General features: G+C 37.3%; 1 protein-coding gene across 35 annotated transcripts in view, besides 2 other annotated features; it reads right to left on the reverse strand.

Moving 5' to 3' along the window:
- The window catches only part of ARB2A (ARB2 cotranscriptional regulator A), a 493,975-nt gene that overhangs the window by 417,968 nt on the left and 51,016 nt on the right, over positions 1–24,991 (reverse strand). For 24 of the 35 annotated variants that reach the window (XR_007058646.1, NM_001163418.1, XM_005272110.4 and 21 more), the window contains 2 exons: positions 17,434–17,535; positions 15,039–15,139 (listed from right to left, as the gene is read on the reverse strand). Coding sequence is in view for 33 of the 35 variants with exons in the window: in XM_005272105.5 (XP_005272162.1) it covers positions 15,039–15,139; positions 17,434–17,535 (203 nt within the window). In the remaining 2 variants the exon portion in view is untranslated. The other 11 variants (NR_028080.1, XM_017009958.2, XM_047417815.1 and 8 more) reach the window with 7 other exon arrangements.
- Positions 14,058–14,157: an enhancer, noted in NCBI's record as "active region_22789". NCBI's record gives its function as "activates an Ori minimal core promoter by ATAC-STARR-seq in GM12878 lymphoblastoid cells {active_cell/tissue: GM12878}" and the evidence as "EXISTENCE:reporter gene assay evidence [ECO:0000049][PMID:35858748]".
- Positions 21,890–22,436: an enhancer, noted in NCBI's record as "OCT4-NANOG hESC enhancer chr5:93393287-93393833 (GRCh37/hg19 assembly coordinates)". NCBI's record gives its function as "activates a minimal SCP1, AML or CMV promoter by ChIP-STARR-seq in naive H9 embryonic stem cells {active_cell/tissue: H9 hESC(naive)}" and the evidence as "EXISTENCE:reporter gene assay evidence [ECO:0000049][PMID:30033119]".

The raw sequence follows: 24,991 nt of genomic DNA on the forward strand, positions 1-24,991 counted from the left end.
CGTGTCCTTTGCAGGGACACGGGTAAAGCTGGAAACCATCATTCTCAGCAAACTAACACAGGAACAGAAAACCAAACACCGCATGTTCTCACTCATAAGTGGGAGTTGAACAATGAGAACGTATGGACAGAGGGAGGAGAACATCACAAACCAGGGCCTGTCGGGGGGAGGAGGGGGTAAGGAGAGGGACAGCATTAGGAGAAATACCTAATGTAGATGACAGGTTGATGAGTGCAGCAAACCACCATGGCAGATGTATACCTATGTAACAAACCTGCATGTTCTGCACATGTATCCCAGAACTTAAAGTATTAAAAAATAAAATTAAAAAAAACAGTAAAACCACTTAGTTAATTTTAACATTTCACTGGCCATTGTTTTTATCCCGAGGATATATCCAGCAAAAGAAGGACAATGTACTGACTCTATTCCAAATATTTGAAGTATTTTCTTTTTCTCTGCTCAGTTACATTACCAACTAGATGCATATTTAAGCTCATATGTTTCATTTTCTTTTCAGTTTTAGGGTATTCTTTAAGCACATCAAAATTTGTATATGGTCCAAATATCAAAATTACACAAAAAGGTATTAGAAAATTCACAAAGCTATCCCTTCATCCCATTCCTCCACATTCCCCATAGATAAATGTGGTTATTAATTTTACCTTTCCAGTTTTTTCCACAATAATAAACAACAAATATATGTATTTATTTCCTTTCCTTTCTCATACAAATGGGAAAATACAACTGTAAGTTCATAAGATATTGGCAATTTCTCCTTTAAAGGAATTTACCACTTTACACTCCCACCAGCAAGATATGAAAAGTCCTGTTTCTCTATAGCCTCATCTACTAAATGAGGTTAAACATCTTTTCATATGTTTAAAGACTATTTGCATTTCTTTCCCTATGAACCACTGGTTCATGCATCATACCCACTGATGCATTTGTAAGGGGGGTTTGGTTTGGGTTTTTTGTTTTGTTCTGTTTCTGTTGTTTTGGTCTTTCACTTTTCAACTTTTAGAAAGGCAAGTAGTCTTTGGAATCTTCCTTGCTATCCAATAAGACAAGATATCCCCATTTCATGGCACTCATTTCTTGCCCCAGTCAGGAATCAGGTATTTCTCCAAAGAATTCAGGTTCTTTATTAGAATCCAGGTTTTGTTACTAGGTTGGCATTTCAAGACCATAATCAGCGCCACTGGGTTGGTAGGTTTTATTTCATTTTTTGCATTTAGATCTCTAATTCATTTGGAGTTAATTCTGGTGTACACAGTGATGAAGAGCCAATTTTTATATTCCTATGGGTGATTACCTATCAATTGCTAAAAGTCCCTTTTCCCCCACTGATTTATGATTGCACCTTAACATAAAATATATTTCCATGTGTAGTTGGGCTTTCTATGTATTTCTGCGCTTTGCATTCTGTTCAGTTGGTCTGTGGGTCTGTTCATATATAAATACTATATTTTTAAAGAGGCTTATAGTTTTTCTCAACCACAAAAACATGGAAAATTATGTCAGCAACTGTTTTGTTTTCAATTCTAAAATATCTACTTAGTAATACTATCCTATACGTAGTATTCCACTTATAGGAATGGATATTAGACAGAGATGAAAGTAAAAGGAGTCTGCTAACAAATTCTGGGCCAATGGTCATTTCTTCATCTCTCCTACAGAAAGATAAGCTTGATGTCAGTAATAATAAGTAGACAGAGTGAGGAGAAAGAAAATCAGCAAACTAAACCATTATAACAGCAATAATAAATTAAAAATCTTCTTAATGAATAGCCTAATCAACACATTTTCTTTCAATCCTCCTAACATTTGCATAGCACATTAAAGAATATAAAATAATATCGCATCTACCCACATTATTCTTCACAACAGAATAAATAATTTTATTCTCATTTTATAACAGAGGCTTGCAAATACCACTTTTCTAAAGTCATACAGACGTGACTGAGCCAGAACTAAGACCCAGATCTCCTGATGGCCAATACAAGATGTGTGAATTTCACATTACATAAAGGTATCAATTATACACAGAAAATCACATTATGTTCAAATATTTGGGTGCTAAAATAATGAAGTTGTTCCTAGTTTCAAATATGTAAATACAGCCATTGAAAAACTCCTATAAGATGGCACTAGCCTACATTGTTTAATCTCATTTTTTAAATGTAATATTTTTCAGTAATTTTCCATTATTTTAGAAAACATATTACTAATTTAGGTCCAGAGAATAAAATTGTACTCTTAGTTGTTTTTATAAGTGTGATCCTATCCATCAATAAGAAAACAAGCTTATAAGATTACCTAATTGTTGCTATTCTCTTTTTAAACACATTGACAATTTATTAATTCTTAAAGAGGTTTTCAAGATATATATCAAAGAAAACACAAAGACCAAAATTAGGCAAGAAAACAGAATCTTTCATTATAATGTCTGCTGAATTATAAATTCTCCATTTAACATTATAATAATTCAGTACTGGCATGAAAGAGAAAACTGATAAAATTTCACAAGTTACATGCTGTTTCTACCAACCTATTTACTACTTAATATGGTAGCCTTTCCAGTCTTTCTCTGAGTTTAACAGAAACATTATTTCTTGGCATTCAACTCCAATATATATTATATATACACTAAAGTACTAAAATGGTACTTTGAGAGTTACCACTTCACACCACTCTCCCACCTCCTTAAGCTAACAGTATTTTTCTAAATTTGGAGAAATTATCCAAACTTATTAAGGGCTATGTATTTTTTAAAGCTCTATGTGGATAGTATAAAAATATATACATATTAGCAAAAGCATTTGTTTGACTATAAAAACATAACTGTGTGAATGTAAAGAATATTCTTTTGTGTATTATGGCACTGCATTCTAAAAAACAAACTGACATCTCAGTTTATTTTACTTACACAATAAGTTTAATTTACATTTAAATGATAGTGCATTTCAGGAGCAAGACTTAAAAACAATTCCTACTGAATGACTGCTATAATAATCTCCTTAAGAAAGAAATAAACATAAACTAAAACAACAGTTGTGAAACATATATAGTAGCGCTCAGCTAAAGACAAAACTCGATATTCAGTAGGAAAATACTAAAAAAAAAAAAAACAGAAGGGGTTTTTGTTTAGATTTCTGGTTGAAATCAAAATCTGTTTCCTTAAGTCTTCAATCTTGAGCATATCAAAAGCTATTTATTAAGGCAGACTTTCAGGCAGTAAACTCAAATTTCCACTATCCTCTGTATACTCTCCTATGATGATCAATCAGAAGAGAAGATGGTTTTTAGTGCTTCTATGTCCAAGACCTGATGAAATCCTTTCCACAGGTTCTCAGTTAATGAAACTAACATAAAGTACTAAATTATTTCCAGAATTTAAATACAAAGGTTTATCTGTTTTCTAGGAACTGTGGAAAGTTACATAAGAACTCACATTTTCTAAATCATAATGATAAACATCTGAAGTTTGAATGTAAGTGTCAGAGGTGTTTGAACCAAAGCAACTCCATCTTGAATAGGAGGTGGGTAAAATGAGGCTTAGACCTACTGGGCTGCATTCCTAGACCATTAAGACACTCTAAGTCACAGGATGAGATAGGAGGTTAGCACAAGATGCAGGTCATAAAGACCTTGCTGATAAAACAGGCTGAAGTAAGGAAGCTAGCCAAAACCCAGTAAAACCAAGATGCCCATGAGAGTAACCTCTGGTCCTCACTGCTACACTGCCACCAGCACCATGACAGTTTACCAAATGCCATGGCAACATCAGGAAGTTACCCTATATGGTCTAAAAAGGGGAGGCAGGAATGATGTACCCCTTGTTCAGCATATCATCAAGAAATAACCATAAAAATGGGCAACCAGCAGCCCTCAGGGCTGTTCTGTCTGTGGAGTAGCCATTCTTTTATTCCTCATCATTCTTAATAAACTTGTTTTCACTTTACTCTATGGACTCGCCCCGAATTCTTTCTTGTGCAAGATACCAGAACCCTCTCCTGGGGTCTGGATCAGGACCTCTTTCCTGTAACATCTTTCTGGCAACCATAGAAGGGACTATAGTGCAGAAACTCCCAAACCAAAGGCTAACTTTGGGTAAGTGGTGGGGTCTGGTAACATCTTTCTGGCAAACCCTGAAGAGATGATACTGAAGAACCATCACCCCCCAACCCCGATCACTGATCAAAAGGAAAAAGACTGCAGCACTGATCAACTGACTTTGGGTAAGTGGTTGGGTACCCGAGTAAAGGATGGGATTGGGTTAGAGGCCCAACTTAGGGGAGTTAGCATCTCTCCTAAGACAGAGTGGGCTGGAGGCACCTCTTAATAAAAGGCAAGGACCAACTTTGGGTTAGAGGCCCAAAACTGAGGAGGGTTAGAGTCTCTTCTAAGACTTAGGGGTTAGAGGCCCCTCTTGGTAAAGTCCCTTTAGGCTAAGAATGAGTTTGGCATCACAGGATGTTAACTGCTTTTCTCTGAATTAATCTGCCTTGTACTCTTTGCTAATGGCTATGGGTGACAGGATTAGGCATGTACAGGATCGTGGGACATGGGGAGCTTTTTCCTCCCTAAAAGGGGAAACTTGAGAGCTAATGGGACTGCTGGAAAAGATCCCTTCTTGACTGACAAGCAGCCGCCTGAACTTTTTTTTTTTTAATTATATTTTAAGTTTTAGGGTACATGTACACAACGTGCAGGTTTGTTACATATGTATACATGTGCCATGTTGGTGTGCTGCACCCACTAACTCGTCATTTGCATTAGGTATATCTCCTAATGCTATCCCTCCCCCCTCCCCCAACCCCACAACAGGCCCCAGTATGTGATATTCCCCTTCCTGTGTCCACGTGTTCTCATTGTTCAATTCCCACCTATGAGTGAGAACATGTGAGTGTTTGGTTTTGTCCTTGCAATAGTTTGCTGAGAATGTGTCACTGCAATGGGTGGGTCTTTCTCTGGCCTCCCTGAGCTCTTCACCTTCCTCAGCATGCCACAGGCAATGCTTTTATCTCTCTCCATTCCCTTTCTTATCTTTTCTATTACTCAGGGCAACTATCTTGCCCAGAGATCACAAGTTGAAACTCCTGGTGGGAGGTTAGATTAATGATGACAGGGCCCAACAGGGGGCAAGTTTGAACCTTGCCAGTTTGATATTGGGTGCTAAGCAGAGGAGCTAATGTCTATGTTTCGTCACACGTATTTTGCTCTGGCCAGAAAGGAAAAAGATAACTTTCCTCTGTGTTGCGACTTGGCCCCCAGGGCTGTGGTGCAGCCAGCCAGGTTACTAGGGCCGCTGAGGAAAAGGGAACCCAGAAGCCTGGCATGTCAGCAAAAGTGTAAGAATTTCTTACTAGTCAGACTTCTGGCCTCTCTGTCTCTCTCGGTCTCTCTCTCTCTCTCTCTCTGTGCAAACCGGTTGAATAAACGGTAAAAATCACTAGTTATCTCCTGTAAAGTTTTGATTAATGGGAAAAAGGATTCATGAGGCTAGTCTTAAGCTGCAGTGAATCTAGTGTGCTTTGTGTGTCCTTCTGTATTGTCTGTCATAATGAGGGACACATTAGGATAGAACATGAGCTTAGGACACCTGTAAGCCCACTTTTCAAGACGGCCCAGCAAACTGGTCAGTCATGTCCTTGGGAGCTTGACCTTGTAACCACGTGGCCGTGCTTTCTCTTTTCACAATGGCAGCCCAGGTTTAGGGTCCAATTCCTGGCTTAGGGAATGGGTCCTTTATCTTCTGTCTCTCTGTGTATTTATATGTGTTGTGTGTGTGATGTTTATATATGAAAGAGCTTAAATTAATTGATTTAATAATAATAAGAGCTTAAATTAAATACATTGTCAGAAAAGTAAAAAGTGTAATGCCTTTTATTTAGTTCATGTGACTTAAGTCATCTTTGGCAAATAAAGACAGTTTTAAAGATATTGGTAAAATAAAAATATCTTCAAAATGTAAACATTTGGTCTAAATTATGTAGGACAGATATTAAGTTTCCTAAATGCTTTCAGATCATAAACTACTTCTTTGACTATTAAAAACTGCTCAATTTACCTACCTTGGAGCATTAGATCCTAGATAAGGCCTGGGAAATGTGGAGTTAGCCACGTCCCCTAGCTATGACGGAAAGAGTCAGCCCCTATCTGCACTTTGCCTGGTGTGTCTTAGGCTAGTCTCCACATCTAGCACATAATTAAAATCCTGAACTTACCAAGATTTTTCACAAAAAAAAAATGAAAATTACTAAGAGTTAACAGTGTAACATGTAACTGAGACTACAGAAGAAACAGTTCTACACGCAAGGTATGTAAAGAAAGTGAAATGTGTTTCTGATAAAAGATTACAAGAAGGCATAGGAATGTGAATTTCCTGCCTAGATTAAAGGTTTAAAGGACTGTTTAAAGTTAGATGGAATAAAGCTGAAGGTTTAAGCAAGTTGTGGAAGGTTTGTAAAAAATTAATCTCGTAAAAAAAATTCTGTGTGTGAATATATTGGCTAAAGTAAAAGGGGTATTATTCAGTTTTTCTGTAAACTGAACATTAGAATAAAAGTACAACAGGTTTTTCTTAGAGCACTGATCTGCTGTTTAACAAAAGATCAGCTTTTTTTTTTTTTTTTTTTTTTTGAGATGGGGTCTCGCTCTGTAGCCCAGGCGCGACCTCAGCTCACTGCAAGCTCTGCCTCCCGGGCTCATGCCATTCTCCTGCATCAGCCTCCCGAGTAGCTGGGATTACAGGCGCCCGCCACCACGCCTGGCTAATTTTTTGTATTTTTAGTAGAGATGGGTTTTCACCGTGTTAGCCAGGATGGTCTCAATCTCCTGACCTCATGATCCACCCACCTCGGCCTCTCAAAGTGCTAGGATTAAAGGCGTGAGCCACTGCGCCCAGCCACAAAAGATCTGCTTTTAACAAAAATTTGTAATGGGTTATAAAAAGTTTATGTGAATCTTACCTTATGGTCAAGCATTAAAATTGGGTAGATATGTCTATAAGGCTTTCTTAAGAATTGGGTGTCACATAAATAGTACACTAATTCCAAGGTAAAATTTGGCTTATATGGTATAAAAGTCATACAGGAAGTATAATCAAATGTCAAATGGTGTTTAACTTTCTTTGGGTTATATTTATATAAACTTGTTATTAGTACATATTACAAAATTGTGTAAGATGCCTATAATTCTGATATGCTTCAGTATATATCATCAGTAATAATTATAATTGTTACATAAAATCACTGTATGCCACAGAGATAACCAAATTTCTTTGTCAATCGTGTTTTTGACTGTGGCTGCCCTAAAATATTTTGTCATCCACAGGCAATTGTTGTCTTGTTTTAATCCTCTTTAGAAGGTGGTTTATAATCAACTATAGAACTCTAACAGGTGTTCTTAAATGCAGGTTTCTGATAACTTTGAAAATTGAGACATCAGAATAGAGGAAAAAAAACTTTCAGGACTCTCATGGAGACCTGAAGTGTTCCTGAATATCAAGCAGAACTAAGGATTTAACTGAATAGACTGAACCAATAGAAAACTAAAGTAATCTTTTTAACTTTGCTTGAAACACTGCTGATCTTTTCGTTTTACAGTCAAGAAAACTTTTCTTTTGAGCTATTTACAGATTTTAGCAATTGAGTAAAGTATACTCCTGTGAACAAAATTTGAAGGATAGTTGCTTCTCTCTACCTGATTTCTCCAAAATTTGGAAACTAGTTCTGAGTATTCTTAACTTACAGCAATATAGTTATTTGCATAAGTGCAGTAAGAATCTGTTTTCTCTTGTAACAGGACACAACTGGAAAAACTGGTTATTTTACCAAGTCTTTGACTGAAACAGCATGCTTTCCTTTAAGGAATCAAATTTGACTTGTAGAGCCAATAAAAGCCCCTAGCAGACCTGGCCTCATACTTTACCTACACAGTCCCTGTACAGGGTTTCTGACCTGTGGCAAATAAAAAATGTCACTTTCTAACAGGTCCAGGAGACCCAAGTTATCTTGGGACCTCAAAAGGAGAATAATTTACCCAACTCATAGGTATTTGAGGGTACAAATCCATGGCTGGGCTCAGCTTTTAAAAAGTCTTATCTGAGATTCCCTATGGAAAAGAGTTCCATCAAAGCCAATTTTTAAAGCCTAAGTGAAAAATAATTGTTCTTGCTGCACTTTATACAAATAATCAGGCAAAGTATAATAAAGCAAATTGGTCTTACCATGATTTGTCTTTAGTAAAAATGGAAAACTTGAGAGAGAAATTATGTTTCAAGAATTATGGTACACTTGTTACTAATTTCTAGTCTCATTAGTTGTTTTTAGGTTTGCTTCTGCAATTTTGGCTAACCCTGCTTATTCCTGTGAATGAACCAGTGGTCTCTGACTGCTACTCAGAAAAAACAAGAGGGTTGGGTAACGTAAAAATCTGGATCAGTAGCCTAATTCTGGGCATGTATTGGAATTGGCTAGCACCCCACATCAGCTTGGTTCTAACAGTTGCCCAATTCATGGAACACATTCTAACTTAGTTTACTTGGAATAATTTTACTTATTTTGCTTTACTGTTGTGGAATATATTGCTGTTGTACTCTTTGTGTAGGAATGCAGAATAAGCTTACTCAATGTTTTCCTAAATTGAACACTTACTAATATTCCAGATATCACCTCTTGTTGGAACTCAAAAGTGATGAATGACCCATATCAACACTTTCGGACTGAGCTCCTCTCTACCGCACATACAGAAAGAGATCCTCATAGTCAGGCAGGAATATCATCGCCCCTATTCAGCCTGAAGAAGTTATAGAAGATAGATCTTCATCCCTCTGCAACCCTTAGGATTAAGGGTTATCCTATAAAAGGGAGGGTGGAAATGTCACAGGCGTTTGAACCAGAGCAACTCCGTCTTGAAAAGGAGCTGGGTAAAATGAGGCTGAGACCTACTGGGCTGCATTCCTAGATGGTTAAGACATTCTAAGTCACAGGATGAAACAGGAGGTCGGCACAAGATACAGGTCATAAAGACCTTGCTGATAAAACAGGTTGCAGTAAAGAAGTTGGCCAAAACCCACCAAAACCAGATGGCCATGAGAGTGACCTCTGGTTGTCTTCACAGCTATACTCCCACTGGCACCATGACAGTTTACCAATGCCATGGCAACATCAGGAAGTTACCCTACCAAGGCGGGTGGATCACCTGAGGTCACGAGTTGGAGACCAGATTGGCCAACATGAGGAAACCCCATCTCTACTAAAAAATACAAAAATTAGCCAGGCATGGTGGCGCTTGCCTGTAATCCCAGCTACTTGGGAGACTGAGGTAAGAGAATTGCTTGAACCTGGGAGGCTGGAGTGCAGTGAGCTGAGATCATGCCACTGCACTCCAGCCTGGGCAACAGAGCAAGACTCCATCTCAAAAAAAAAAAAAAAAAAACAACAACCAAAATAAAAAGGAAGTTACCCTATATGGTTTTAAAAGGGGAGGTGTGAATAATCCACCCCTTGTTTAGCATATCATCAAGAAATAACCATAAAAATGGGCAACCAGCAGCCCTCAGGGCTGCTGTGTTTATGGAGTAGCCATTCTTTTCTTCTTTTACTTTCTTAATAAACTTGCTTTTACTTTACTTTATGAACTCACCCTGAATTCTTTCTTATGTGACATCCAAGAACGCTCTCTTGGGGTCTCGATCAGGACCCCTTTCCTACAACATAAGTGTTAAAATCTTCCAATAAATTATGCCACATATAGTCTATTTTTATCAAATACTTTTAAATCACAAACACTTTAATAGTATGAAACTTCTAGCTCTTAAATGGAAGTTGAAATAATTAAAATTGTTTAGCTTAGAAACAGGAAAATTATCATTTTCTTTTCTTCAATAAGAAAATACACAAAATTAGGAACATTAAAAAATCTCTAAAATGCATAGGTCCAGAATTTATACTAAACACTTTATCTATTTGTATCACACTATTTATTATTCAACAAATATTGTCAGGACACAGAAAGTTTCCCCCAAAATTGCTTAAAAACATGTATTTTTTAAAAATGCAATGCAGAGTGATAAGTAGCATAAGAGATATACAGTAAACTCATCCCTTTATTTACTAACATTGCTTTCTTTTTTAAACTCTACTTATTTGAGTCTTCCTAAATGGCATTCATCTTTAACGTTGTCTTAAATCATTTTTCATATAAGATAAAATAGGTAGAAAAACAAAATGGGAAGAAAAGAAATCAGGAGAGAGAAAGATTGTAACAGAAGAGATGAGGGAAGGCTTCCTAAAGGAGGAGACATTTGAGCCAAAACAGGAAGACAGATGGAGGTGGGATACAGTGACAAGGAGAGAAGGACATTTCAAAGGGAGAAAACAGTGTAAGATGGAAGTATAAACTGTGAATGAAGAATAGTAGTTGGTTAAATTTCACTTGAACGCATGACTCAGAAATGGAAATTATGGAATATTATAGCAAAGTATCACCATTTTTCTGAGAGAGAGTTTAATTTTTTTTTATTATTTTCTCTTATTTTCTCCTTTTCCCCTGTTCCTCAGCTTCCTATTTAGCCCTTTAGAAATGCAAATACAACGCTTTACCTCCCCCTCACCAGACATTCCCTACAGGGCAAGTTCATCTAACTGTGCTCCAAGAGGGATCTCTCCTCAAGAGTTGACAGTAGATTTGCAGACCAAAGTATACCCCATGGAACTCTCACTCTGGGACAGGGAGGAGGGGGAACAGTGGGGTGGGGGGATAACCTTGGAACTCATACCCACCAGGAGGGCATGTGGAAAGCATGCCCACTTGGCCACTTTTACAACTTACTTCTACCCAGGAAGGCGCCAACTTAACTGCCCAGTAGATAAGGCACCAGCTAGCAAGGGGACTCCCTGCCCTTGCTTGCTCCCTCCCCTATCTTAAAGTGCCTGCTTTCTGCTCCAAGAGTAAAGTAGTACATTTAAAGGCAGACTGTTTGTGCCTCTTTCCTCAAGCTAGCTTCGGGATAAATTCACTTTTTTTTTGTACCAGACCTCACTCATGCTTATCGGATTCTGCACACAGCAAACAACTAACCTGCTTTTTGGTTACAGAATCAATGAAAAGACAGGTCCACAGATGCATTAAGTCCCACTATCATGAATTCCAAATAACTAATTAACTATAGTGAAAACTCTGTCATTATTGGTATATAACCAGAACTCATACAACTAACTTCTAAGATGTAGGAAATAAAATTCAATTAATAATTAACCTTCAACAGTGAAATTAGCAATCAAAACAAGTATTCCAAACATGACATAAGAAGCATGATGGTATGATACAAATACTGTAATAACCAGACTTTCTCTCTCCAATTCCTGGGTCTTTTTGTTGTACTGAGTTTTATGTTAGGAAAATATGTTTACTTTTGATCAAAATATTCAGGAAGAAAAAATGTTGGTACTTAAAGCTGAGGAGTCCACTGATCTAAATAGAAACACTGCATTAAAAGTTAAATGCTATGGCCAGGCACAGTGGCTCATGCCTGTAATCCCAGCTCTTTGGGAGGCCAAGGTGGGCAGATCACCTGAGGTCAGGAGTTCGAGACCAGCCTGGCTAACATGGTGAAACCCCATCTCTACTAAAAATACAAAAATTAGCCAGGTGTGGTGGTGCATGCCTGTAATCCCAGCTACTCGGGAGGCTGAGGCAGGAGAATCACTTGAACCCAGGAAGTGGAGGTTGCAGTGAGCCGAGGGTGAGCTGAGGCGCCTGGCGCCTGGGTGACAGAGTGAGACTCCATCTCAAAAAAAAAAAAAAAAAAATTAAATGTTATAATTTTGGGTAATCACTTGGGTCCAAATTGAATGTGAACACAAATGTGAAAGCAGGCATAGGAGGCAGTAATGTAGATAATACAGAATATGCTCTCTCTCTGTAAATAACCATCAAAGTAAAAACTCAAATATTTTGATTCTTATCGACTAAGGTACACCAAAAATAAATCTGTGTGCCTCCATATATCCAAAGAATTATGTATAAGATCCTAGGAAAAAGGAATCATTTACACATGGAATTACCTAAAAAGACACATAGCTGGAGTTTAACATAGATGATGTTGGAGGATACATATTGATGGCATAAATGATGCAGATGCCAAAAAGGACAAGGTATATTTGAAGACTAGCAACCTGTCCAAGTGAGCTGGTGGTGTACATGGCTTATGGAAAATAGTAAATAAACAGTCCCATTTAAAAACAAACACAAAAACCACAAGCTCTTTTCTAAGGCCATTATAGTATGGTTATTCTATAATCAAAATACCACCAGTTTGCAACATATAATTCAAGTGGAAATCGGTAAGCTTTTTTTTTTTTTTTTTTTTTGAGACAGAGTCTTACTGTGTCACCCAGGTTGGAGTGCAGTGGCACGATCTCTGTTCACTGCAACCTCCATCTCCCGGGTTCAAACGATTCTCCTGCCTCAGCCTCCTGAGTAGCTGGGATTACAGGGGCGCAACACCACACCTGGCTAATTTTTGTATTTTTAGTACAGACAGGGTTTCACCATGTTGGTCAGGCTGGTCTTGAACTCCTGACCTCGTGATCCACCCTCCTTGGCCTCCCAAAGTGCTGGTATTACAGGCGTGAGCCACCATGCCTGGCCAGGTAAGCTTTTTTTAATGTGCAGCAGAAATTACTCAGGGCATTGAATATATTTAGGTTATAAATGCTGTAGAACACTAACAAGAACTGTGAAGATTCTTTAACTGTCAGATTTTACATTGCATAGAAGCTAGCAAGTTAGCCTGCACAGTCATGGATGCTGTCAGATGACATTAGTCTTCTGGATCAGAAACAAAAATTAATCAGGGTATAGCAGGCAGCATGAGCTTCATGTTCTCATGAAGTCCAATCTCTTGCTCCTCAAATCCCAAAGAGGCAGTGTCAACAGGCCCAGGTGGAGGCTGAGCATGCAACAGGATTGTATCACAGCTGACGAACCTCAAACTTAGGAAACCCAATCTTCTAAAGGGGCTATTAGCAATCCTTTGCCATCAGTGGGGGAAGGGAGGAGCATTATCTTTTTATCCTGGACAACAAACTAATCTGCCCATTGCCTTGGAGGGAGATACAACCTCTGTCTTCGAAGCCTGTTTCCTATACAGTTGTCCTTGAAAAGATGATCCAGAGCAAAAGCTGTCAAAGTCTTTGCTCAGAGATATACAGAAATGCAGGAGATCAAAGAATTGTCTCCCAGGAAATGATATATTCTTCATGCTATTATACTTATGTTACCATATATTCTTTATGTGATAATTTAACCAAGTAGTTCATTTTTACTACTCTATTTAAAAACAAAAAAGGAATACAGAAATTTCAGCTTTTCCTTAGAAAAGTAATGTAGCTATCTAGTTATCACACTAAAACTTATGTGTCCACATGCATTTTTACTAAAAATAAAGATAATATGACACAGAATGACTAAAACTTTTCACTTTACCAAACTACTCACCTAAATGGCAAATGACATTTTCAAAGGTTCCTACAAGCAGTACCATGTGAAGTACCTAATGTTCACAAGGCCTACTCCTTTATCCAGTCAAAGACAAGTAGGTTAAATTCAACTTATTAGCCAAATATCAATATTCTTCACACAAATAAACACCTGAAAGAAAACTTATTCATTCTGGCATAGTAGGGGATTCAACCTCTTAAAAACATTTTTAGGCTCGGCGCAGTGGCTCACACCTGTAATCCCAGTACTCTGGGAGGCCGAGGCAGGCGGATGACTTGAGGTCAGGAGTTCAAGACCAGCCTGGCCAACATGGTGAAACCCCATCTCTACTAAAAGTACAAAAAAAAATTAGGTGAAACCCCATCTCTACTAAAAGTACAAAAAAAAATTAGGTGAAACCCCATCTCTACTAAAAGTACAAAAAAAAATTAGGTGAAACCCCATCTCTACTAAAAGTACAAAAAAAAATTAGGTGGGCATGGTGGTGCACGCCTGTAGTCCCAGCTACTCAGAGACTGAGGCACGAGAATCGCTTGAACCAGGCAGGTGCAAGTTGCAGTGAGCCAAGATCGTGACACTGCACTCCAGCCTGAGTAACAGAGCGAGACCCTGTCTCAAAAACAAAACAAAATTTAAAAAATCAAATTAGAATTTCGCATAAATTTGTTTTCTTATGTAATGACTCACTACAAAATATTATAGTCATGGGAAGTATAAGTTTGTGTAAAAACAGAAGTTTTTTCTTTTTTTTTTGAGATAGGGTCTAACTCTGTCAGCAAGGCTGGAGTGCAACGGTGTGATCACAGCTCCCTGCAGCCTTGACTTCCTGGGCTCAAGTGATCCTGCCACCTCAGCCTCCCAAGTAACTAGGACTATAGGCACACACCACTATTTCTGGCTAATTTTTTTATTTTTTGTAGAGACATGGTCTTGCTATATTGTCCAGGCTAGTCTCAAACTCCTGGCTTCAAGTGATTCTCCTGCCTTGACCTCCCAAAGTGTTGGGATTATAGGTGTGAGCCACCACAGCTCACCTAAAAACAGAAACTTTTTTTTTTTTTTTTTTTTGAGACGGAGTCTTGCTCTGTCACCCAGGCTGGAGTGCAATGGTGCCACCTCAGCTCACTGCAACCTCCGCCTCCCAGGTTCAAGCGATTCTCCTGCCTCAGCCTTCCAAGTAGCTGGGACTACACGCGCATGCAACCACACCCAGCTACTTTTTGTATTTTTAGTGGAGACAGGGTTTCACCATGTTAGCCAGGCTGGTCTGGATCTCTTGACCTCGTGATCCACCTGCCTCGGCCTCCCAGAGTGCTGTAATTACAGGCGTGAGCCACTGAACAGGAACTTTTAAACTGAGAATATGCTTCTAACATAACCACTAAAAAGGAACAAAAAAAAAAAACAAAAACCTTTTTGGAATCACATTTTGTAGAAAGAGTGCATAAACTGCTGCATCTTCAAAACTTTTATTCTGAATATTTAAAATTGGGAAAAACAAAGTTAAAGTAGTATATGTGACATACCTCTCCTAGAGCCTCGTATCTTTTCTGGTTCCATCTGTGTAAATCTTCCCGGTAGTTAAAAACAAATGGTTCCCCAGTTTTTATGTGTCTTAACTGTCCCTCTAAGAAGATAAACAAACAATATTGCTATACTTCAAAGTATATTGACAATAATATAAACAGTACAACAAAGAATGTCTGATAAAAATTTAAAATAACTTTCTCAGAACAGTTTATCTTTTTCATTAGATTTTTTTCTTCAGATGTCACTATGATGCAAACATACAGATTATGTAACTACTAATGGTCCCCAACTACTCAAAAGTTATTCTTCTTGACCTTCATGTCTCTAATCTAAAGCAAACTAACAATATTTTAAGGCCTAATATGTATAAAGACCTCTCTAGCTATTGCCATGAACATGGGCCCAGTCCTCAAGAAGCTTAGAGGTTACCTGAGGAGTAAAAGCATAAATATTAAGAAGTTAAGCAACTTTTCAGGAAGCTAAACAATCGAGATTGAAATATGTCAACAGTCTAAAAATCTGCCACTGGGGATTCATATAGACAATAAAGTCTAGAATGATTTTGGAAACATGAAAACTATCTGTGGGCTAGAAGAGGTTTAGAAGGTTTCAGTGAGATTTCTCAACTAGGTCTTCAAATACAGGTAGAATGTCAAATGAAAACCAGAGAGAAGCAGTGAGCTAACACAGGTTCAGGCTATCAAATCACATTCACACAAAGCAAAGATCTTTACGGATAATGACTAAGCTTTACTAATAATTTCAAGGGCACAAGGAATCAAGAAGAATAGGCAAGGCAGGGAGAAGTCTGCAGCATCTGGTCATTTCCCCCAGGTCCTTTCCTCTCATTGGATAGCACTCTCTGGCCCAAAGTAGATGAGGACTCTACGTGATGCATACAGGTAACCTCACACGCTGGTGAGCATTTGGGTTATAAAATATTTCCATTTTACGTGCCAAAGAGTTGTCCTGCTTATGTGATATTCTGCAGAGAAACATTCCTCATATCTAAACCAGTCATCCTGCTCAAAGTATTCTATAGAAAAGGACTCTCCTCAGAGCAAATATTAATCTACATTTATTTTTATTTATTTATTTATTTTTAGATGGAGTCTCGCTCTGTCACCCAGGCTGGAGAGTACAGTGGCCCAATCTCAGCTCACTGCAACCTCTGCCTCCCAGGTTCAAGAGATTCTCATGCCTCAGCCAACAGTAGCTGGGACCACAGGCGCATGCCACCACGCCTGGCTGAATTTTGTATTTTTTAGTAGAGATGAGGTTTCACTATGCTGTCCAGGCTGGTCTTGAACTCCTGACCACAAGTGATCCACCCGCCTCTGCCTCCCAAAGTGATGGGATTGCAGACATGAGCCACCACACCTGGCCAGTCTAATTTATTAAATGAGTTAATTATCAGCATGTTTATAAGGAGAAAAGACGAAGCCACTTGTCTCCTGGACATGACTTTTTCCCCAGGGGTATTCCCGGGGTAATCAGGAGAGAAATACACTACAGGCCAATTGCTTAAACTCCTCTTCCCCTCCACGCAACAAATATTACTACTTCTACTGGTATAAAATAACTTTTATTAAAAAGTATAAAAATTAATATCAGAGAAAAGATCAAAGTTTCTAGTCTCTTATTTTAAACTCAACATCTTAGTACACGATGACTGTCACCATAACTCTTAATATCTATAACTGATATTGGAAAGGAATATCCACAAATACAGTGATGACAAAGCACCAATTCGGTTAATGCAGAACAACCAATAGAAAACTACAACTCAGATGCACCTACCCTGTAATAATATTACCCTTCAAGTGTAAGGGTGTATTACACATGATTCTCTGTTCCAGAAACATCCTTGCAATCTACAGTATGTTCCTCCACATCCCAAGTGTAAAGGTTATTGTATTCAGAACTGAATTAATAAATTTTAAAACAAGGATGTTGCCTGAAAAATCATGGAAAACTACTTTAAAACATTGTCACAGATAATTATTGCCAGACACTTTATTCTAAATAACATGTGAAACAGTAGCATCTTTCTCTATAATTTAATTAGGAGTTCAAATTGGATACCAGGGAGTTGAACGCTCAAGGTTGAAATGCATAAGCTGAATCAAATTCATGACCATTAGTTCACGTAACTTGACAACTACAGAAAATTGTTACTTGTTACTTGGTTCTTTCACTTGAATGAAGAATTTCACCATGCAAGGATGTCACTATTTCTCAAAAGAATACAGAAAACATTCTACTTGGCCTTTAAAAGTAGCAAATAATATCTGTCTTATTATTCTATGAGCACTGATAAATAAATTTTGCATATACTATAGATAGATAGATAGATAGATAGATAGATAGATAGATAGATAACCCACTTACTTTCATTAAAAGCATATTCAAATCCTTCCAGGGTATCAGGAAAATCAAGAGGCGGTTCATCTTTTTTCATTAGTTCATCCAAATCTATCCTAGATAATAAATCTAGAAAAGAAATGATATGAAATTTACTTATATTCATTTTCATAGTTTGTAACAAAGATTTTAATTTAATTTAATTTAAAGTATTCTTTGTTCTATTAATTTTTATGTGTTGCTTTAACTGATAATGCTACTAAATTGAATTCCCAAAATACTATATTATGATCAAGCACAGTATTAACATAAGCACCTTGAAAATCATAATTCTAAAAACAACTACAACTCAGATTCTATACACCATTATATTTAACTTCTTCCCTTCAAAATAGACAGCTATTAATTTGTACCTTATTAACCTCATTTAAAAGTTTCAGACATTAATATGACTTTTCAAAAGTCATCAAATCTTATATATAACTGAAACATTTACGAATAAAGAAACTTATAAATGTAAATAGTATTAATATAGCATATTATTCCATTTTTAGGGGGAAAACTGTTAAAATAAAACACGCTAACTAGCAAAAATTATTTCACATAGTTTCTGTTCTTCACATCATTTGAATCCATGCAACCAAAAAAACTCTGTCAAGGAGTTTTTCTTTTTCTTTTTTCTTTTTGAGATGAGGTCTCACTCCGTCACCTAGGCTGGAGTGCAGTGGCACAATCTTGGCTCACTCTCCAACCTCTGCCTCCCAGGCTCAAGTGATCCTCCCACCTCAGCCTTCCGAGTAGCTGGGACTACAGGCGGGTGCCCCCATGCCAGGTTATATTTTGTATTTTTCACAGAGATGGGGTTTCACCATGTTGCCCAGGCTGGTCTCAAACTCCCGAACTCAAGTGATCTGCCCACCTCAGCCTCCCAAAGTGCTGGGATTACAGGCTTAGCCGCCATGCCTCGCTGAGTTTTGGAGTAATTTTAGATTGATGGAAAAGTTGAAAGACAGTACGAAGAGTGTGTTATACCCTTTACTCACTTTCCCCTATTAGTAACATTTTATAACATCATGTCACATTTGTCAAAATGAAGACACCAATATTGGTACATTACTACAAACTAAAGCCCAGGCATTATTCATATTTCACAAGTTGTTCCATTAGTGTTCATTTTCTTTTCCAGGATTCCATTCAGGACACCACATTACATGTAATTATTATCTCTCCCCAGTCTCTGTGGTCTGTGATAATTCTCAATCTTCCCTTCTTTTCCATGATCTTGACAGTTTTGAGGACTGTGTCAGGTATTTTATAGAATGACCCTCAATTTGGGTTCGTCTAATGTTTCTGCTTATGATTAGACTAGGGTTATGATTTCTGGAAAGAATATCACTGAGGTCAACTGCCATTCTCAACAGATCATGGCAAGGGGAACATGGTATCAACAGGACATCACCAGTGATGCTAGCCTTCATTACCTGGTTAAGGTACTATATGCCAGGCCTCTCCACTATAACGTTACTGTTTTTTTCCTCTTCATAATCTATTCTTTCGAGGTGACTATGTCTGGCCCACCCTCAGGGAAAAAGAGGAGGAATTATTCTCTACCTCCCATAGCAAAGAACACCTAAATATATTATTGGAATTATTCTGTATGGAATATTCATCTCTCTTCATCCATTTACACATTTACTCAATCACTTATTTATATCAGTATGGACTTGTGGACACTTATTGTATACTTTAGGTTATAATCCAATACTACATCATTCATTTTGCTCCTCAAATTGTTCCAGCCATGACTATTGTAAGCTCCTTTTTAGATGTCTCCTGTGTCCCTTTGACATGCTCTTACCTTTTTGCTTTTCATGCACTTCCTTACTTTCTACTACTAAAAGATGCTCCAGCCTCATCTTGTATCTTTCCTGTACCAGCCCTAGAATCAGTCTGTCAACAAGCATTTAATATCTTTTAGGTTCATATTGTAGGATGAGGCAAAAGTTCTCACTATCTGTCATCACAGAGTCATTTAAAAATGACACAAAAAATTTAAAACTTCAAATTTACTCATTTCCAAACAGATGTGGAATCATTTTTGTCTCATCAATAAATAAAGGTTAGTTAGGTTTTGAGCCTCTTCATTCTAACTCAAGTTCCTGAAGACAAACACTCTTAGAATATGTTGTGAGGCAAACCAGTCCCTTTCCTACAAAAGAAATATCTCAGAAATAACACTTTATTTCCGTCTCTCACAGAAATATAACAAATCTTTCTGTATAGAACATCATCAAAATATGCTAGAGAAAAAAGTATTTTGTCTACCTTCAGTCACTAGCCTCTCTCTGTAGAACACAAAAACAAGCCATCAAATGCTTCATTAAAAGAACCACTGTTTAGCACTCTTCTAACTCTTATATCAAATTCAACTCACATAAAAATATACTATCCCCAATATAAAAAAAAAGTTTGTACACTCTAGTAAGACAAAAATGTCACATATACTGGGTTTAAAAAGGGACATATGTTGACAATTCTTCATTCATTAGTAAAGTTCTTACCACCTTGTAAATCTTTTCAAAATAAAGACAGAAGGGTTTTAATATCAAAAATTGACTTGCAGTAGCCAGAATGTTCTCATTTTCCTTCTTCCAATGAATTGAGGCTCTGGGACAAAATCAGATTCCTTGACTTCGCAGTCATCTACAATTCAAAACTTACAAACCTTTTAATCAGACATCGAAACTGTCCATACATAAGCAGATCTTGCTTCTAACAGCTCTTTTCTGTATCTGTTAGCCTAGACCATAAATGCAGCCTTACATCTATATATCACTTTAAAGATTTCAAAGCACTTTCATATACATTACTTCATTTGATCATCACAATCCTATGAAATAGTAACAAGTATTATCATATTCACTGTCTTTCAGACAAGAAAATGAACTCAGGTAAAATGGCTTGTCCAAAATCACAGCTTAGTAGTAGATGGGATTAATAAAATAAGCATATCCCTAAAAGCCAAAGTCAGCACTCTTTCAAAAATCACCATACTGATTCTATATGCTATATCAACCTTATAATACTCTAGCCCTCCTTTTCTCTGATTATATAGAATAAACAGTTATGAATACAAAAATGTGCTTTGGCTTTGCTCAAAATGTTCCTTTGAATGATAAAACGAACAACTAAATAAAAAGACATTCCTCAAATTTTTCCTGTCAACTAGAGAACCTGATATAGATTTTTTTATTTCATTAGCATTGAGAAGACATACAGAAAGGAACTGTCAGAAATTATTTTTCTGCTTTGTAAGAGAAAAGCAATAATGTAAAGTTGCATTTTACCCTGAGACTGGGTTCCAAAGGCAGATTATGCAAAAATCGAGTATAATGAAAGATTTCCATTGAAAATCCCTTCAATAACCTATAAAATACAATAGATTTGAATCCATATAACCTAAATATGCATCAGATATGACACGACTGTTTTTAAAGCATGGCTCTAGTGGTTAAAGTGATCCAGCAACTAGAATTCTAAACCTCAACTAAGCATATAAAACAACTGTATAAAAATACGATTTCATACCCAAAAGGAAGCAGGAACTCAAACAGATATACTTGCACATTAATGTTCATAGGAGCATTATTCACAATAGTCAAAAGGTAGAAGCACCCCAAGTGTACATAGATGGGTGAATGGTATGATGGCTAATTTTATATGAGACTGGGAAATAAGGTAACCAGATATTTGATTAAATATTATTCTGGGTGTGACTGTGAGGATGTTTCTGGATAGGATTAACATCTGAATGGGTAGACTTAGTAAAGCAGATTCCCTCCTCAATTTGTATGAGCCTCATCCAACTGGATGAAAGTGTGCACAGAGCAACAACGCTGAGTAAAGGAGAATTCACTCTCTCTGCCGATCTTCAAGCTGGGAAATTAGTCTTCTGCCTTCAGATTTAGACTGGAACTCACACCATCAGCTCTTCTGACTTGAACTTTACTGTCAGCTCTCCTGGGTCTCCAGCTTGCTGATAACAGAACTTGGGTCTTCTCAGCCTCCATAATTGTGTGAGTCAATTCTTTGTAGTAAATATTTCCTTAATAAAGAAAGACATTCTTACACAAAACTGATGTACCTTGAAGATATTATGCAAAGTGAAATAAGCTGACACAGAAGGACAAATATTATATATTATATGATTGCACATTTCTGAGATTCCTAGAGTCATCAAACTTATAGAGACAGAAAGTAGAACGGTGGTTGCTGAGGGCTGGGCAGAGAGGGGAATAGGGAGTTATTGTTTAATGGGTATAGGGTTTCAGTTTTGCAAGGTGCAGAGTTCAGGAGATGGATGGTGGTGATGACTGCACAACAATGTAAATGTACTTTATGCTACTGAACCCTATATTTAACAACAGTTAAAATGGTAAGTTTTACATTATGTCTATTTCATCACAATAAAGAAAGTACCATTTGGCATCTTTATTTTTAAAAACTGTATTAAATAAATGAGTATTTAAAACACTATTGGAATTCTACTTCTGGCCAAAACAGAATAACAGGAACCGAATTATTTCCACTTTCCTTAAACAACTGGAAAGCAAGAAGACACATGTAAAAGAACAGTTGGACAACAGGCAGCCAGAATTGAGAGAAAAAGAAACAAATGACATAAACCCCTTGATGCCCTAGCTTACTGTGTGGAGACAGTTTAAGGCACAGCAGGAAGGAAGAACCCAAACAAAGAATGAAGACCCTGTTGAGCTGATGATACAGAGATCAGAATTTGAATAATCCAAGGTGGCTGGATTTGGAAGCAGAGAAGGAGCGCAGGGGAAACTGTTTAGAAAGAGAGACTGCTGGGCAGAATTTCAGAGGGATTCACTCATGTCTTTGACTATTTATCCATACACATAGGAGAAAAAAAAATTACCCAAGGACAGGGAAAGCAGCAGGATGAACAATTCCTTAAGTACACACAGAGCTGCAAATATGTATGCCTATTAGCCCTAGAGAAAGGAAACTCTAAAACTGTCATATCAAAGATTAAAAAAACAAGCCTCCAAGAAAAAAAAGATACAAATATTATAAATACCTGTCAGAACAAAGCCCAACATTCTTTAAAATAAAACCAAAAAGCAAAGCAAAACAAAATTTAAGCACCAACTTATTCTTTAAAGGAATAGAAGAAAATCCAGCATCCAATAATGTATAATTTACAATGTCTGGTATCTATGAAAAATGATAAGGCATGTAAAAAGGTAAAAATCATGATCCATAAACATGAAGAAAATCAATCAATAAACCAAGAAATGATAAAGATAAAGGAATTAGAAGGAAAAAACATCTACTTCAATGTGATCTGTATGTTTGAAAAAAATGTTTAATCATTAATATACCAAAGTGAGAACTGGAAGAAATTTAAGCTTCTATACATAAAAAAATTCTATCTAAAATTAAAAATAGACTGTTAAAAATTCACAGCAAATATAATTACAGAAGATGAGATGAATGAACTTTGAGACCTAACAGCAGAATTATCCAAAATGAAGCAGAGAAAAACAATAGTTTAAAAATGAAGAAAGTATTATTGACCAGTGTGACAATGTCAAGTTGTCTAATACATTTTAAGTGTGTTCCAAGATGAAATCAATGCTGGGAAGTGACATAGTTTGGATGTTTGTCCCCTCCAAATCTCATGTTGAAATGTGACCTCCAATGTTGGAGGTGGCCCTAGTGGGAGGTGTTTGGGTCATGGGGGCAGAACTCATGGAAATAATTTCTCACTCTATGAGTTCCCTGAGATCTGCTTGCTTAAAAGAAGGTGGCACCTCTTCCTTCTCTCTCTCGCTCCCTCCCTCTCACCATGTAACATACTGGTACCCCTTTGATCTGCCATGATTGTAAGCTTCCTCAGACCCTCACCAGAAGGAGACATCAGCACTATGCTTCAGGTACAGTCTGCAGAACTGTAAGTCAAATAAACCTCTTTTCTTTTAAATTACCCAGTCTCAAGCATGCCTTCATAGCAATGCAAACAGACAAACACAGGAGGGAGACTGAGAACTGAGGGAAAAAAAAAAACAATAGTTTTTAAAAAGTGGATGAAATGTTTTCCAAATATGATGAAAACTTTAAGACCACAAATCCAAGCAGAATAAACACTGAGAAAATGATACAAAGGTATATCATAATTACATTTCTGAAAATAGGTGATAAAGATAAAATCTTAGGGCCAGGCGTGGTTGCTCATACCTGTAATCCCAGCACTTTGGGAGGCCAAGGTGGGTAGATCACTTGAGGTCAGGGGTTTGAGACCAGCCCAGCCAACATGGTGAAACCCCATCTACCAAAAATATAAAAATTAGCTGGGTGTGGTGGCACGCGCCTGTAATCCCAGGTACTTGGGAGGCCGAGGCAGGAGAATTGCTTGAACCCGGGAGGCAGAGGTTGCAGTGAGCCGAGATCACACCATTGCACTCCAGCCTGGGTGACAGAGTGAGACTGTCTCAAAAAAAAAAAAAAAAAAAAAAGATAAAATCTTAGAAGCAGATAGAGAAAAAAGGAACAAAGATAATAATGACAAAAGACTTTTCAGGAGCTATGCAAACAAGACAATGGTGCAACATTTTTCAACTAAAAAAAAAAAGTCCATCAACCTGGAATTCTATGCCAACCAAAAGCATCTTTCCAAATAGAAGAAATAAAGATTTTTTTTCAGACACAAAAAAGCTGAAATAATTTATCACCAGCAGGCCTGCAAAAGAAAATGGTAAGAAAAGTTCTTTGGGTTGAGGCAAATGATACTAAACAGAAATATTATCCACATAAAGAAATAATGTGTACTTCAAAAGAAAATTATATGACTAAATAAAAGCATTTATTTCTCATTGTTAAATCTCTTCAACAGGTAATAGTAAAACAGAGGATATCACTACAGACCCTGCAGCCTTTAAAAAAACAAGAAAGGGGCCAGGCGCAGTGGCTCACGCCTGTAATCCCAGCACTTTGGAAGGCCAAGGCAGGCAGATCACGAGGTTAGGAGTTTGAGACCAGCCTGACCAACATGACCCCGTCTCTACTTAAAATACAAAAATAGTCATGTGTGGTGGTGCGCACCTATAATCTCAGCTACTCAGGAGGCTTAGGCAGGAGAATCGCTTGAACCTGGGAGGCGGAGGTTGCAGTGAGCCAAGATCACGCCACTGCACTCCAGCCAGGGCCACAGAGCAAGATTCCATCTCAAAAAAAAAGAACAAGAAGGGAATATTAGTGACAACCCTATACACATAAATTATACAAATTAGACGAAATGGTCCGAGACCTTAAAAACCACAAACTACTAAAACTCATCCTATATAAAATAAACAATACGAATAGTCTTATGACTATTAAAGAAAATGAATTTGAATTAAAATCTCCCCTCAAAATTTTTCAGGTCAAGAAAGGTTCACTGGAGAAATCTCCAAAATACTTAAAAATAAATTGGTACCAATTCTACACAATATCTTCCAGTAAATAAAACAGAGGTAAATATTTCCTAAATCATGTTAGAAGATCAGTATTACCCTGATAA

Source organism: Homo sapiens, chromosome 5 (assembly GCF_000001405.40).
Source record: "Homo sapiens chromosome 5, GRCh38.p14 Primary Assembly".
NCBI lineage: Eukaryota > Metazoa > Chordata > Mammalia > Primates > Hominidae > Homo > Homo sapiens.